This window comes from Homo sapiens, chromosome 2 (assembly GCF_000001405.40).
Source record: "Homo sapiens chromosome 2, GRCh38.p14 Primary Assembly".
NCBI classification, from domain to species: Eukaryota; Metazoa; Chordata; class Mammalia; order Primates; family Hominidae; genus Homo; species Homo sapiens.
The window spans coordinates 215,037,481-215,052,471 of record NC_000002.12 but is presented as its reverse complement, the minus strand read 5'-3'; the positions used below and the strand labels follow the sequence as shown (position 1 = coordinate 215,052,471).

At 34.9% G+C, this 14,991-nt stretch overlaps 1 protein-coding gene across 3 annotated transcripts in view; it reads left to right on the top strand.

Annotated features, from left to right (window-relative positions):
• Window positions 1–14,991, top strand: part of ABCA12 (ATP binding cassette subfamily A member 12) — a 207,085-nt gene that overhangs the window by 86,155 nt on the left and 105,939 nt on the right. For 2 of the 3 annotated variants that reach the window (NM_173076.3, XM_011510951.3), the window contains exons 6-7: window positions 2,661–2,846; window positions 6,457–6,635. In NM_173076.3, the coding sequence (NP_775099.2) occupies window positions 2,661–2,846; window positions 6,457–6,635 (365 nt within the window). Of the gene's footprint in view, window positions 1–1,654; window positions 1,679–2,660; window positions 2,847–6,456; window positions 6,636–14,991 lie in introns of all 3 variants that reach the window. The other variant, NR_103740.2, reaches the window with a different exon arrangement.

Below are 14,991 nucleotides of genomic sequence, written 5' to 3'. Positions count from 1 at the left end.
TTTGTAATGGGTAGAGTGATTCAACATAGGCCTTTTAGGTTAATAGAAGGATCTCTCAAATAGCAAGATGTTTGGAGCACCTTTCCTATTTAGGGTAATATCTCAGGCAACTTCTTTTCTTAGGAACCCTTCAATAAACAGCTTAATTTTAAGACATTCTGAATTCCTTAATATCTTGAGTATTTATTTACTTCCCTGTTAAGTCCCTTAATTGAACTTAAAGTTTTCACTTAGTAAGAAATTAGGGTGGCATAATATGTGATGTTTTAATTTTCTGAAGCAGGAAAGAAAAAAAGACCAAATGAAGTTATAATGCTCTTCGAATTTGCTGCCTCATCCATACTAATCAAGTCTTGGGAAAAATTAGAGCTAAGGAAAATATTGCCCCAAAGTAGGAAAATCCTTTTTCTTAGCGTATTTTAGAGAGCTTACTTATCGATTTCTCTGTTTCCTAGAGATCATCTACTTTAAGATTTCCCAGATTGCAAGATAATGAACATAATTTCTATCAGAGGTGTAAACTGGCAGCCTGTGAGCTAAATGTGTGTGTGAGTGTGTGTACGGAGATTTTAAGAAATTGAATGTGAATGCCTTTAGGCAGAACACGTGCTCTTTGTAACTACAATCTCTACTTCCCCTTATTGTCTTTCATCTGGCCAGATTAATATATTTAAGTTATTTGGCTGGTCCCATAGGTATTTAAGTCCTGTTTTATGTGCTCTTTAGACATGAAAAGACTTCATTTTCAACATTTGGCATTAGAGATACTATTCTCTCTCTCTCTCTCCCACTCACCTTTCTTCTCTCCTTCCCCCATCACCTTCACACACACACACACACACACACACACACACACACACACTAGCGTTTTTAATAATATATCTATATCTTATATAGCAACCATTTCTTTTATCTGATCATGAGACATGTCTTTAACATTTATTAACATTCCAGTAACCATAACCACTGCTACTTAATATGACTTTGTTAGTTATACTTAAATTAATACTCTGTTTAACTGAGGCATTTCAATAAACTGAGTTATATAAATGAGCCAAAGGCCAGCACAAAAGCGGACTCCAGGAAATGGCATCACACTCATCAACTCTGCCCATGCTGGCCAAAATAGAGGACCTTTCAATCTGTCCAATCTAGACATTGAAAGTCTAGTTTACATAATATTTGAGGCTTCTAATGTTTTTTGTCTGGCATAGAAGTCTCTCAATATGCCCAGTTAATTCCAGTCTAAAGCTTCCCCCAATCAAGCACAGTGTATAAATTAGAGAACATTATTCTATTCCATTCCAGTTCTTACATATTGGTTCCTAGAAGTAGACAGTCTTGCATTGGATCAGATAAATTCTTTAATATCTAGAAGAGCAATGCTATTCTCCAAAATGCTACTTTGTCATATTGAAACTCCCAAGTTATCTTTCTCATATGGAATAGAATTTCAGAATTTTGTGAGGCAGCACAGAGCTATATATCCAGGGGAGATAAGCCAAAAATGAAATTTCTATGTATGGATACATATTTTTAGAGTAGTTGGAGCAGGGAAGGGATGTAAAAATTAGGATGATATATTGATGCCTATGTCAGCAATCTCTCTGATTCCTCTTTCTTTCTCTTTACTGCTTTCTGCAACACTTGCAAGAATGAGTAGAGAAATCATTTTTGGGTGAGTTTATGTGGAATGTTAGAAGAGAGATACGGATGAATGACTAGAAGGCCTAACACTTATAGTACATCCTAGATAAGTGGATTCTGTCTTGTTCCATTACTTTTAGAATTTGAGTCACTAGAAGGTAGCATGTAGGTTTTGTAATACACACTTAAGGGGAGGATGAAATTGACCTCACCTCATGGAGTAATAAGAATTAATTATTAAGATGGACCCCTTAAGTCTGACAACTAACTATCATCAGCTCTGTAAATATCTAAACAACTTAATAATGGTAAATATGATCAACATTATGGGTAAAATACTGCTATATCTGTGACTGGCCTGAATTATGAAATATATAGGGAGATTATGATGATTCCATTACGAAAATGATTTCCAATGACTACTTTTAGTAGTTATGCCTGCTATTATACATTTTCACATACGTTTTCCTTTTTCTTTCTATATATAAGACTTAGATGGAAGAACTGCTTTGCAAATGAAGCAATCTATATTTGTACACTTCTGTAAATAAACACTGTTCATCCTAGGAATAGACCTCGAAGCTCCTTCTGTTGGAAATCTTCCAAAGATCACAACCAGTTTCCTATGAGTGCCATGAAGAGTTAGGACACCTGAGTTTCTGCTACTCAATGTCCAGAAAAAGTGAATAAGATTTTTATGCGTGAAGATTTTTGTAAGCAAAGACTCTGTGCATTGAGGTTTTCTGGTCAGAGACAAGAAATGAGTTCAGTCAAACAATTCATATATAAATCATTTAAATAATAACAATGACAAGAATTTACCACATTCATGCATTCGCTCTACAAGTTTCATGGGTAAACTCTATCTACTTTATTGTTATTTTAATAGCTGCTATAATGGAGGACCTCAAAATGGCTATTTTGAAGACAGCTTAGATTCCTTGAAGAATAGAATATTTGAACATCTACATTTATTAACACTCTTATTTTACTCTTTTCACACATGCTTTTAGCTGTTAAAGCAAAATTCAACTTCAGAAGATATACGAAGAGAACTATGTGACAGCTATTCAGGATACATTGTGGATGATGCCTTCTCTTGGACCTTTCTAGGAAGAAATGTTTTTAACAAATTTTGCCTTTCTAACATGACCCTTTTAGAGTCTTCTCTCCAAGAACTAAACAAACAGTTCTCCCAGGTGAGTGTAGATCTTTGATCCACAAAGTGACTCAACATGAATTAAAGGGTAAATCTATAGCCCGTGTAGACTGGGAAATGCTGACTGGGATATTTGTTTACCTTAGGCATGTTTTCCTCACATAGACATTTGCACACAAAGTTTAATCTTAAGTAGTATTACTTATTTAATGTGAAAGGTTGAAACGATTTCAATGCTAAACCAAAAATATTACATTATGGTTAATGTGGACACACCTTTATAAATAAAATATGGCTTTGCTCTACAGTAAATGAAGTTTGATAGTTTTCTCTGAGATCTTTAGGTGAGATTACTCAGGCTGTGATACAAGTTTAATAATTAAACTGTCACAGTCATATAACTGCCAGAATTTAGAATAATGGGTAAAATCTTTTTATTTTTCTCACTGACTTCAAACCTAGTTTGAAAAGCTAATTTTTCTTTAATTGTGAATTTTCAAAAACTTTTATTTTAGGTTCAGGGGCACATATTGCAGGTTTGTTATATAAGTAAACTCATGTCACAGTGGTTTGTTGTCTAGATTATTCTGTCACCGAGGTACTAAGCCTAGTACTCAGTAGTTATTTTTTTCTGATCCTCACCCTCCTCCCACACTTCACACTCAAGTAAGTCCCAGTGTCGGTTGTTTCCCTCTTTGTGTCCACGTGTTCTCGTCATGTAGCTCCCACTTATAAGTGAGAAAATGCAGTATTTCGTTTTCTGTTCCTGCATAATTTGCTAAGGATAATGGCCTCCAGCTCCATCCATTTTCCTGCAAAGGACATCATCTCATTCTTTGTTATGGCTGCATAGTATTCCGCAGTGTATATGTACCACATTTTCTTCATCCAATCTGCCATTGATGGGCATTTAGGTTGATTCCATGTCTTTGTTTTTGTTTTGCTTTGTTTTTTGTTTTTTCTGAGACACAGCTTCACTCTGTCACTCAGGCTGGAGGGCAAAGGTGCTATCTCAGCTCACTGAAACCTCCGCCTCCTGGGTTCAAGTAATTCTCGTGCCTCAGCCTCCCGACTAGCTGGGACTACAGGTGCAGGCCACCACACCCAGCTAATTTTTTTTTTTTTGTATTATTAGTAGAGATAGGGTTTTGCCATGTTGGCCAGGCTCATCTCGAACTCCTGACCTCAAGTGACCCACCTGCCTCGGCCTCCCAAAGTGCTGGGATTATAGACGTGAGCCACTGCACCGGCTGATTCTGTGTCTTTGTTATTTTGTGACTAGTGCTGCAGTTAACATATGTGTGCATATGTCTTTATAGTAGGATAATTTATATTCTGCTGGGTATATACCCAGTAATGGGATTACTGGGTTGAATGGTAGCTCTGTTTTTAGGTCTTTGAGGAATCACCACACTGTTTTCCACAATGTTTAAACTAATTTATACTCCCACTAACAGTGTTTAAGTGTTCCCTTTTCTCTGTAACCTCACCAGCATCTGTTATTTTTTGACTTTTTAATAGCCATTCTGACTGGTGTGAGATGGCATCTCATTGTGGTTTTGATTTGCATTTCTCTAATGATCAGTGATATTGAGCTTTTTTTCATATGCTTGTTGGCTGTAGGTATATGTTCTTTTGAAAAGCATCTGTTCATGTCCTTTGCCCACTTTTTAGTGGAGTTTTTTTTTTTTCTTGTAAATTTGTTGAACTTCCTTATAGATGTTGGATATTAGACCTTTTTCAGATGCATAGTTTGCAAAAATGTTCTCCCATTCTGTAGGTTGTCTGTTTATTCTGTTGATGGTTTCTTTGCTGTGCAGAAGCTGTTAAGTTTAATTAGATCCCATTTGTCAACTTTTGCTTTTATTTTGATTGCTTTTGGCATCTTTGTCATAAAATATTTACCATTTCCTGTGTCTAGAATTGTGTTGCCTAGGCTGTCTTCCAGGGTTTTTATAATTTGGGGTTTTACATTTAAGTCTTTAATCAAACTTGAGTTGAATTTTGTATATGGTGTAAGCAAGGTGTATATTTTTTAATTGAGTTGAATTTTGTGTATGGTGTAACCAGTTTCATTCTTCTGCATATGGCTAGCTGGTTATCCCAATGTCATTTATTGAATAGGGAGTTCTTTCCCCATGGCTTGTTTTTGTCACCTCTGTTGAAGATCAGATGGTTGTAGGTGTGTAGCCCTATTTCTGGGTTTGCTATTCTGTTCCATTGGTCTATGTGTCTGTTTTTGTACCAGTACCATGCTGTTTTGGTTACTGTAGCCCTGCAGTATAGTCTGAAGTTAGGTAATGTGATTCCTCAGCAATAAGTTAGATTTTGATAAAACAGTATATCCCTCTCACCAAAATATTATACATTAGAAGCAAGAACACTCTACTATGGAGTGTTTGCATACATTAGTCTTTAAACAAATTTAATTTAATGTTAAGTTCCAGGATACATGTGTAGGACATGCAGGTTTCTTACATAGGTAAATGTATGCCATGGTGGTTTGCTGCACCTATCAACCCATCACCTAGGTATTAAGCCAAGAATGCATTAGCTATTTATCTGGATGTCTTCCCTCCCCCTATCCAGCTCTGACAGACCCCAGTGTGTGTTGTTCCCCTCTGTGTGTCCATGTGTTCTCATTGTTCAGCTCCCACTTACAAGTGAGAACATGCAGTGTTTGGTTTTTTGTTCCTGTGTTAGTTTGCTGAGGATAATGACTTCCAGCTCCATACATGTCCCTGCAAAGGACATGATCTCATTCCTTTTTTTCTGACTGCATAGTATTCCATGGTGTATAGTGTCATATTTTCTTTATCCAGTCTATCATTTATGGGCATTTGGGTTGATTTCATGTCTTTGCTATTATGAATAGTACATACACTAGCCTTAAACAACAATGGTAAAAATGAGACAGCAATAATCTACATTTAATGCAACCCCACATACAATGAGAGAACACAAAAAAATACAGTTATAATAATCCCCAATCCAATGTAAAGTACTTACAATTGTTTTTTTAACAAAATTGGCAGTCATGTAGAATAGAACATGTGGTAAAAAAGACATTGTTCAAAATCACATAGCACTAAGTATGTGTAATTGTAATAGTAAACATTTTCCTGAATTATGTATATATATATATACACACACACACGCTCTTATATATATTATATTATATTATATTTTATATATATATAAAAATCTATCCGTATCTCTACTAATCTATATATTAGTTAAGGAGTACTCCATCCAAACAATATAACACCTAGTAATAAGTATAGGGAAGATATATCTGCAACCCTAAACCAAGTCCTAAGAAAAAAAAACATTACTCAGAGCTAAAATTATTTTAGGAACTTAATTTTAATTTCCAAATATATAATTTGAAATATTTTATATAAATACAGCTTTGTTAACCAAACTTTTATGCCAATTTCTGGAGTTACAGGGAAAAGATCCAATTATGTTTAAGAACATTAGAAGTAGTTGCTGGTTTTCCAAATAAAAGATTGGCTTCAAACTGAGTGAAGGTCTAAAAGAATTGCTTATGTGAAAATCTAGATTTTTGATGCTTTTAAAAACAGCAAACCATGTGATTACAAATGTTAAAGTCTCATTTTGCTCTGTTTGTGGTTTTATATTTTAAGCTATCCAGTGACCCCAACAATCAGAAGATAGTGTTTCAGGAAATAGTCAGAATGCTGTCTTTCTTCTCACAAGTGCAAGAGCAGAAAGCTGTGTGGCAGCTTCTGTCTAGTTTTCCAAATGTGTTTCAGAATGACACATCACTAAGCAATCTATTTGATGTTCTTCGAAAGGCAAACAGGTAAGAAAATGTAAGAATTAAATGTAATATTAGTGTTCACAAAGAAGTGTTTAAAAAAATGTTACCTGTGATGATTACTGTTATCTGGGTTATTTAAACACAGAGCAAATAATCCTTCAGCCTCTTATTGCAGATTTTAGCAGTGAAGGTGAGTGTATTAGTTAAGCAAAGAAGAAACATACACTGTGGTCATCAAGGTTATGGAAGCATCCACGAGGAACTGATCCTAACTGTTGTATTGTTACTGGGTATCGCAGAGCTTCTAAGAATGAGGTGTACAGCAGGACCAACAGTATATTGCAGCACTGACTCCAGTTCATTCAGGGACAACCTGAGCTCTATGCAACTAGCATTTAAACTATCCAGGAATAAAATATCTCAGTGAGTTTTGTTTGGTACCATCCAACATAAAACAACCATATTGGTAAGAGTTTTGTTCCAAGCCACCTCAAAGAGGTTGGCCTCCCTCATGTGTAGTCAGCTTAGAAATGACCTTTCCAAGCCTGCATATCAGTTAGCCTTGGTATATATGTTATAAAGATTTTAAAACCTTTGCAGGAGAAACACCTTTAAAGGTTACTTTATTCGTAAAAGAGATCTGGGCACGGCCAGTATTTAGAGTTTAATGGACAGTACTTAGGTTTTGATTGCCCTGTATAGCTAATTTGAAAATGAGCCTTAAAAATCCAACTACTGCATCAATGATGTTCGATTATTAAGTGCCTATTACATGCTAGATGTGTTACCAAGTCGTTTGTACACATGATCACATTGAATCTTACAACAAACAGTATTTATTTTATAAATTAGATTAACAGTCCTAAAAATTAAGTATTTGCAGATCCTGCATCTAGAAGGGTTTGCAACTAGATTTTCTAACTCCAGAACCCAGGCTGCCTCTCTTATATGTCACTAATAGCATGATGTAGTCTATTTTATATGTCTAGAGCATCAGAAGAGATTGCTTTTTACTTTTGGAATGCTTTTAAGAGCTTATATCTATTCAAAGACCTTATAATAAGCCCTTGTATTGATAAAACAATCTCATTTGATTCTCAGAATAGTGCTTTGAGCTGGAGACAATGGATTCCCATTTTATAGAAGAGGAGACAAATCCTTATGGAGGTCAAATGGCTTCCCCAAGGTTCTACAGTTAGTACATGGCAAAGCCAGGACCTAAACTTAAAGAATTTGAATCCCAGTCCTATACTCTTTCCATGGTAACACACCATAACTGGAATACAGAAGAAGCAAGATATTAGGAAGTTTGATTCTCTATGTTAACCCTCATTTTATCTCTTAGGGAAATTTTCACTCACTCAGAATTTTGACTCTGATCCTTTTCCTCCTATTTATTTTCTGTCTTAGGAAGCAAACAGGTGAATCTGTAAAAGGAGAAGGGGAATTATTTGACTTGTATAGTGTAGCAGTGAAAAGAGTCAATAATATTCAGACCCCAAATAAGATATCACTACACACTCACTGGAATGGGTTAAATGTTAAAAGATGGATAATTCCAAGTGTTAGCAAGAACATAGAGCAACTGAAGCGGTCATATATTACAAGTTAGCATGGGAAACAACACAGTCATTTGGAAAATAGTGTGACAGCTTCTAATGAAGTAAAACAGTAGATCCGTATGAGGCTGCATTCTACTCTTGGGTATTTATCCAAGAAAATGAAAATATACACCTATATGAAGACTTGTATGCTGATGTTTATTTCTTGATAATAGCTAAAAGTGGAGCCAGGTAATCAAATCTCTATAAAAAAATGGCAAAACAAATTGTGGTTTATTCATATATTAAAATACAACACAACAATAAAAATAAGCAGATTATTGAGTCATACAAGGTAAATAAGTCTCATTAATATTATGCTGGCAAAAACATCAAAACAAAAAATATATACTGTGTATGTAGATAGCGTTATCATCCTATTTATAGAAGGTTCTAGAATTGACACAATTAATCTATAATGTTAGAAATCAGATCAGTGGATTCAGGAGCAATTGCATGAGAAAAATTTTCTGGGGTGATTGAAATGTTTGTATCTTAATTGGCATGGTGGTTACATGTATGTGTATTTGTCAAAACTTATAACTTCACTTTGTACCCCGTAAGTTTATACAATTAAAATGATCACTTTACAACTTAAAAAAAACTCATTTAATTGTACACCTAATATAGGTGCATCTTATTGTATTTAAATTATACCTCAATGAAATTTGATTAAAAAATCAACAACAACAACAACAACAACAAAAATTCCACAAAATAATATTTACTAAAAGACAGAAGATCTAAAAATACTCTAGGCATTATTTTGGCGGAGCAAATTACACTGGCAAAAACATTGTGCTGTGGCTATTTTAACAACAACCTCTGATCCAAGTTCTGCAGCTATTTTAATTCCCTTTAAATTTTAAAATAAAATTATTGCATATTTTGGCACTATGCAGTAGAGTATGTTGTCAAGTAATGATTATATATGTAAAAGAGTCTGCATAATAATGAAAATAGCTTATTAATAAATGGCTTCAACTCAAGCACCTTAGTAGCAAAAAAACAAATAATGCAATTTAAAATGGACAAAAGATCTGAATAGATATTTCTCAAAATAACACATATAAATGGCCAACACGTGTATTTTTAAAATGCTCAACATCACTCATCATCAGGGAAATGAAAATCAAAACTATAATGAGATATCATCTAACTGCAGTTAGAATGGCTATTACCAAAAAGACAAAAACAATAACAGATGCTGGCAGGGATACAGAGAAAGGGAAACTCTTGCACACTCTTGGTGGGAATGTAAAGTAGAATGGCCATTGTGGAAAATAATATGGAGGTTCCTCAACAAATTAAAACAGCCATGCACAGAAAGACAAATACTACATAATCTCATTTTTATGTGGATCCTAAAAAAGTTGATCTCATAGTAGAATGTAGAATAATGATTACCAGAGGTTGGGTGAAAGGGGAGGATGAGGGAAGGTTGATCAAGGGGTAGAAAGTTACAATTAGATAGGAGGAATAAATTTTACTGTTCTATTGCACAGTAGGGTGATTGCAGTTAATAGTAATCCATTGTATATTTCAAAATAACGGTAAAAGAAGATTTCAGATGTCCTCATGATAAACAAATAATAAACGTTTGAGGCAATGGATACATTAATTATACTAATTTGAGCTTTACACATTGTATACATGTACCAAATTATCACACTGTACTCTATAAATATGAACAATTATGTGTCAATTAAAAATAAAATAAAACTTACAAGAGGCTGAGTGCAGTGGCTTATGCCTGTAATCCCAACAATTTGGGAGGTGGACATGAGAAAATTGCTTGAGTCCAGGAGTTCAAGACTAGCCTGGGCAACATAGTGGGATACTATCTCTACAAAAAAATAAAATAAAATAAAAAAGTAGCTGGGCATGGTAGTGCATACCTGTGGTCCCAGCTACTTGGGAGGCTGAGGTGGGAGGATCGCTTGAGCTTGGGAGTTTGAGGTTGCAGTGAGCCATGATAATGTCAGTGCTCTCTGGCCTGGGTGACAGAATGAGATTCTATCCCAAACAAACATAAAACCTAAAGAGAAATAGTTTCAAATTATTATGAAGCAAATGACATTTGACTTAAAAATTATTTTATATTCATAAGAACACTTAACATGAGCTCTGCCCTTTTAACACATTTTTAAATTGTAAGCTATAGGTACAATGCTGTACAGCAGATCTCTAGAGCTTATTCATCTTGCTTAACTGAAACTCCATGCCTGTTCATTACCAACTCCCATTTCCCTTTCTAATCAGACCCTAGAAACCATCACTTGACTCTTTGATTCTAGGAATTTAACTATTTTAGATACTTCCCATACAAGAAATTTTGTAGTATTTTGCTTTGTGTGACTGGCTTAAGTGGTTATGCATTATCATTTCACATCATGTCTTCAGGGTTCATCCATGTTGTTGCATATTTCAAAATGCATTCTTTTTTAAGTCTGAATAGTATTCATTGTGTTTATATAGCACGTTTTCTTATTCATTTATTTGTTGATGGACATTTAGGTTATCTCCACATTTTGACTATTGTGAATAGTGCTGCAATGAACACAGCAATACTACTATCTCTTCATTATTCTAATTTCAATTCTTTTGGATAAGAATCCAGATGTGAGATTGCTGGATCATATATGATAGTCTATTTGTAATTTTTAAGGAACCTCCATACTGTTCTCCATAGCAACTCCACTGTATTCCTTTTTTTTTTTTTTTTTGAGATGGAGTCTCGCTCTGTCGCCCAGGCTGGAGTGCAGTGGCACGATCTTGGCTCACTGCAACCTCTGCCTCCTGGGTTCAAGCGATTCTTCTGCCTTAGCCTCCCGAGTAGCTGGGACTACAGGCACGTGCCACCATGCCCGGTTAATTTTTGTATTTTTGGTAGAGACGGGGTTTCACCATATTGGCCAGGCTGGTCTCAAACTCCTGACCTTGTGATCTGCCTGCCTCAGCCTCCCAAAGTGCTGGGATTACAGGCGTGAGCCACAGCACCTGGCCTATTTTGTATTCTTTTGGTAAATTTTTTATCTTCAATTTTCTTTAATTCAGCAGTATTTCTTTTTATTTATTTTTAACTGACAAAAATTGTATATATTTATGGCATACCACATGTTGTAATATATATCTACATTGTGGAATGGCTAAATCAAGCTATTTAACATATACATTTCCTTCATATACTTATTTTTTTGTGGTGAGAACACTTGAAATCTACTAGCTTAACAAATTTTTTGTATTTAATATACTTTTATTTACATAAACAGGCCTTAGGGCTGGATTTGGCCTGCAGGTTGCACGGCTTAGTAGGTGCAGCAAACCATCATGGTACACATATATGTATGTAACAAACCTGCACATTCTGCACATATATTCACACCCCCCCTTTTTTTTGTAGAAGAAATAAAAAAAGGTTTGGGACACATAACATTTTGTTTTTTTGTTTTTTTGTTTGTTTTTTGAGACGGAGTCTCCCTCTGTGGCCCAGTCTGGAGTGCAGTGGTATGATCTCAGCTCACTGCAACCTCCACCTCTTGGATTCAAGCAATTCTCCTGCTTCAGCCTCCCAAGTAGCTGGGATTACAGGCATGCACCACCACACCCAGCTAATTTTTTTCGTATTTTTGGTAGAGACGGGGTTTCACCATGTTGGCCAGGCTGGTCTTGAACTCCTGACCTCAGGTGATCCGTCCACCTTGGCCTCCCAAAGTGCTGGGATTACAGGTGTGAGCCACCGCGCCCAGCCAACATTTTGTATTCTCACCAATAGCATGGAAGGTTTGGATTTCTTCATATCTTTGCCAATACTTTTTGTCTTTTTTTTATTTAATAATATGCATCCTGACAGCTGTGCAATGATATTAAGATTTTGATTTGCATTTCTCTGATGATTGAACATTTTTTCATATGTCTATTGGCTATTTATATGTTTTCTTTATATTTTGGAAATTAACTGTTTATCAGATAAATGGTTTCCAAATATTTTCTACCATTGTATAGTTTGCCTTTTTGATAGAATAGCATCTGACTTTTATTTAGTCAGAACAACTCTTTTTTTAGTGGTCCAGTAATACTTGATCTTTCTAACATGATAGCCCCTAGTTAATGTGGTTTTTGAGCACTTGAAATGTGCTAGTGTGCCTAAGGAACTGAATGTGTAACGTTACTAACTTGATTAATTTAAATTTTAAAAACTGATACTTGGTTCAGTTATTGTAATACTTTTTAGTATGTTAACAATGGCTTAGGTATGTGAATCTACTTTTTCATCCGTAAATTTAATGAAATCTAAATACAGGTGAAGACTTTTCAATTAAAATTTAGCATCTGCACTGAGATGCCCCATAAGTTTGGAGACCTAGTACAGTAAAAGACCTAAATTATTTCATTAGTAATTTTTATATTTATTAAATATTGAAATGCTAATATTTTGGATGTATGGAGTTAAAATATATTATTAAAATTAATTTCATCTGTTTCTTTTTACTTATTTATTTATTTATTTATTTATTTTTTGTGAGAAGGAGTCTTGCTCTGTTGCCCAGGCTGGAGTGCAGTGGCGGGATCTGGGCTCACTGCAAGCTCCACCTTCTGGGTTCATGCCATTCTCCTACCTCAGCCTCCCAAGTAGCTGGGACTACAGGCGCCCGCCACCACGCCTGGCTAATTTTTTGTATTTTTAGTAGAGACGGTGTCTCACTGTGTTAGCCAGGATGGTCTCGATCTCCTGACCTCATGATCCATCCGCCTTGGCCTCCCAAAGTGCTGGGAATACAGGCATGAGCCACTGCGCCCGGCCTTTACTTTTTTAATGTGACTACTAGAAAATTCTAAATTAAATACATGGCTTGGACTTTTTAAAGTCAGCTGTTTATTATTATGATAAAGCTGACAGTGTCACTAAAAGCCATAATTTTCTCACAAATGACTGTATTTTATCACAACATTATGGTCTCATTGGTTTATCTTAATCTTTGTTGAACAAGTAATAGAGACAAATGGACCCCACAGGAATTTTTGTTATTTCTCCAGCATTTTTTTACATTGTATGTTGTATATAAACCAACCACCGAAATCAGATTATATAATGTTAAAGTTAAGACAGTAATAAGCAGAAATCAGCAATCTCAAAAGTTGAGAAAAGCATATGAAAGGACACACAGGATTGTTGCCTTACTGAGATGAAGGCTATGCTGAGACATAAATCACAAAAACTCTTTTTAAAAATTACCTTTACTCAGAGAGCAACCTGTTTTTGATGATGTTTTGTTTTGATGATGTTTTGTTTTGATAATTTCCATTTTTATATGATGAAGAGAAGAAAAATAATCTATGAAGTAAAATAAATATCAAGTATCAATGGTGTAAAGGATTTCAGAGAAGATGGAAGCCCAGGTGTCATTATTTATTCAGTTACATTTTGTTAGATAAAGATGAATGAAGTCTACTGACATTTAATTAATAATGTTAATGATAATAATGCTGAAAGATTTAATGAGATTGTCAAATGTTCAGTCTTTGAAGATGTTACTTTGGGACAATAGGTCAGGTGAGTTAGGCAGAGGGTCAGGCTTGAAGGCCGACCAAGATTTACGCCCTGAGACAGTCTAACTGATCTCCATGGTTGCTAGGGTTTGGAAGTAACCCAACACCTGAGAACCAGGAGATTCTTGGGGCAAACATAAAAATGCCTGAGGTGTCACCAGTCATGTATACAGAGCAGAGATGAGAAAAATACAGCCATGCCTCTGTGGCCAACTGTTCGGAACACAGCTGGGTGACAAATTAAAAATGCCTGTGGGCTCTGTGCAGAAATGTTCTGCCCTCCTCCTCCCCACCATGTTGAAGCAAAGCTTTTGTGCTAGAGGCAACATATAGAGTGGATAGAACATAAACTTTGAAATAGAGAGACCCCAGCTGTACTTATTATTAACTAAATAACCTTGTGTTATTTAGTTACTTAACTTTTTTCAACTTTAGTTTTCCCATCTGCAAAACTGGACAAATAAATAGATTTTATAGAATTATTAGAAAACTAAATGTTAGAAAATATATATGCATATATTTTTATGTATGTTTATAAACATACACACATATCCACATGTATATCCTTATTTTATACTAGGAACTACCCAGATGGCACCTAAAATTTAGTTCTCTAAACAGCTATCATTCATATCTAGGGGACTAAAATTAACATCATCTTAATCTAAATTTCAAAAATTCCAAAAACATTATAGAATGCCATGAAAGTGTACACAAATACTATCTATTGCTGGAATACACATTGAGTTTACTAAGAAACTAGATAGGGAAAAATTACTATTAGCTAATTTGTACTACATTTAACTTCACAATGTCAAATTTTTAACAAAAGCCTACTACTTAACTAAAGCATTGACTCAACTGTTGATACAAATCACAGTACTTATATAATGTAGAAATGCATGTGCAATAACAATATTTCTTTAAAATGCACTAATGGCTATAAAGGAACTAAAAGACATGTTTTGAGAAACTAATTGCGTTTTCCAAATACAGGATGAACTCAAGCATAACTGAATTTTCTGATTTTCTATCCCCAGTGTAGACTGCCCATCTTATCGGTAACATAAAAGCTATAGAAACAGAGTATGGATATTAATTTTGAACTACCTCTGGAATAGTGCCTATAGACCACTTAGAAGATAGAATATAGTCTTTAATTAGGGCAAGCTCCATTTTCTTCTTCAAAAACATTACTATCTGTTTAGCAAAAGATAAATATTATAAATGCTTAAATAATAATTATT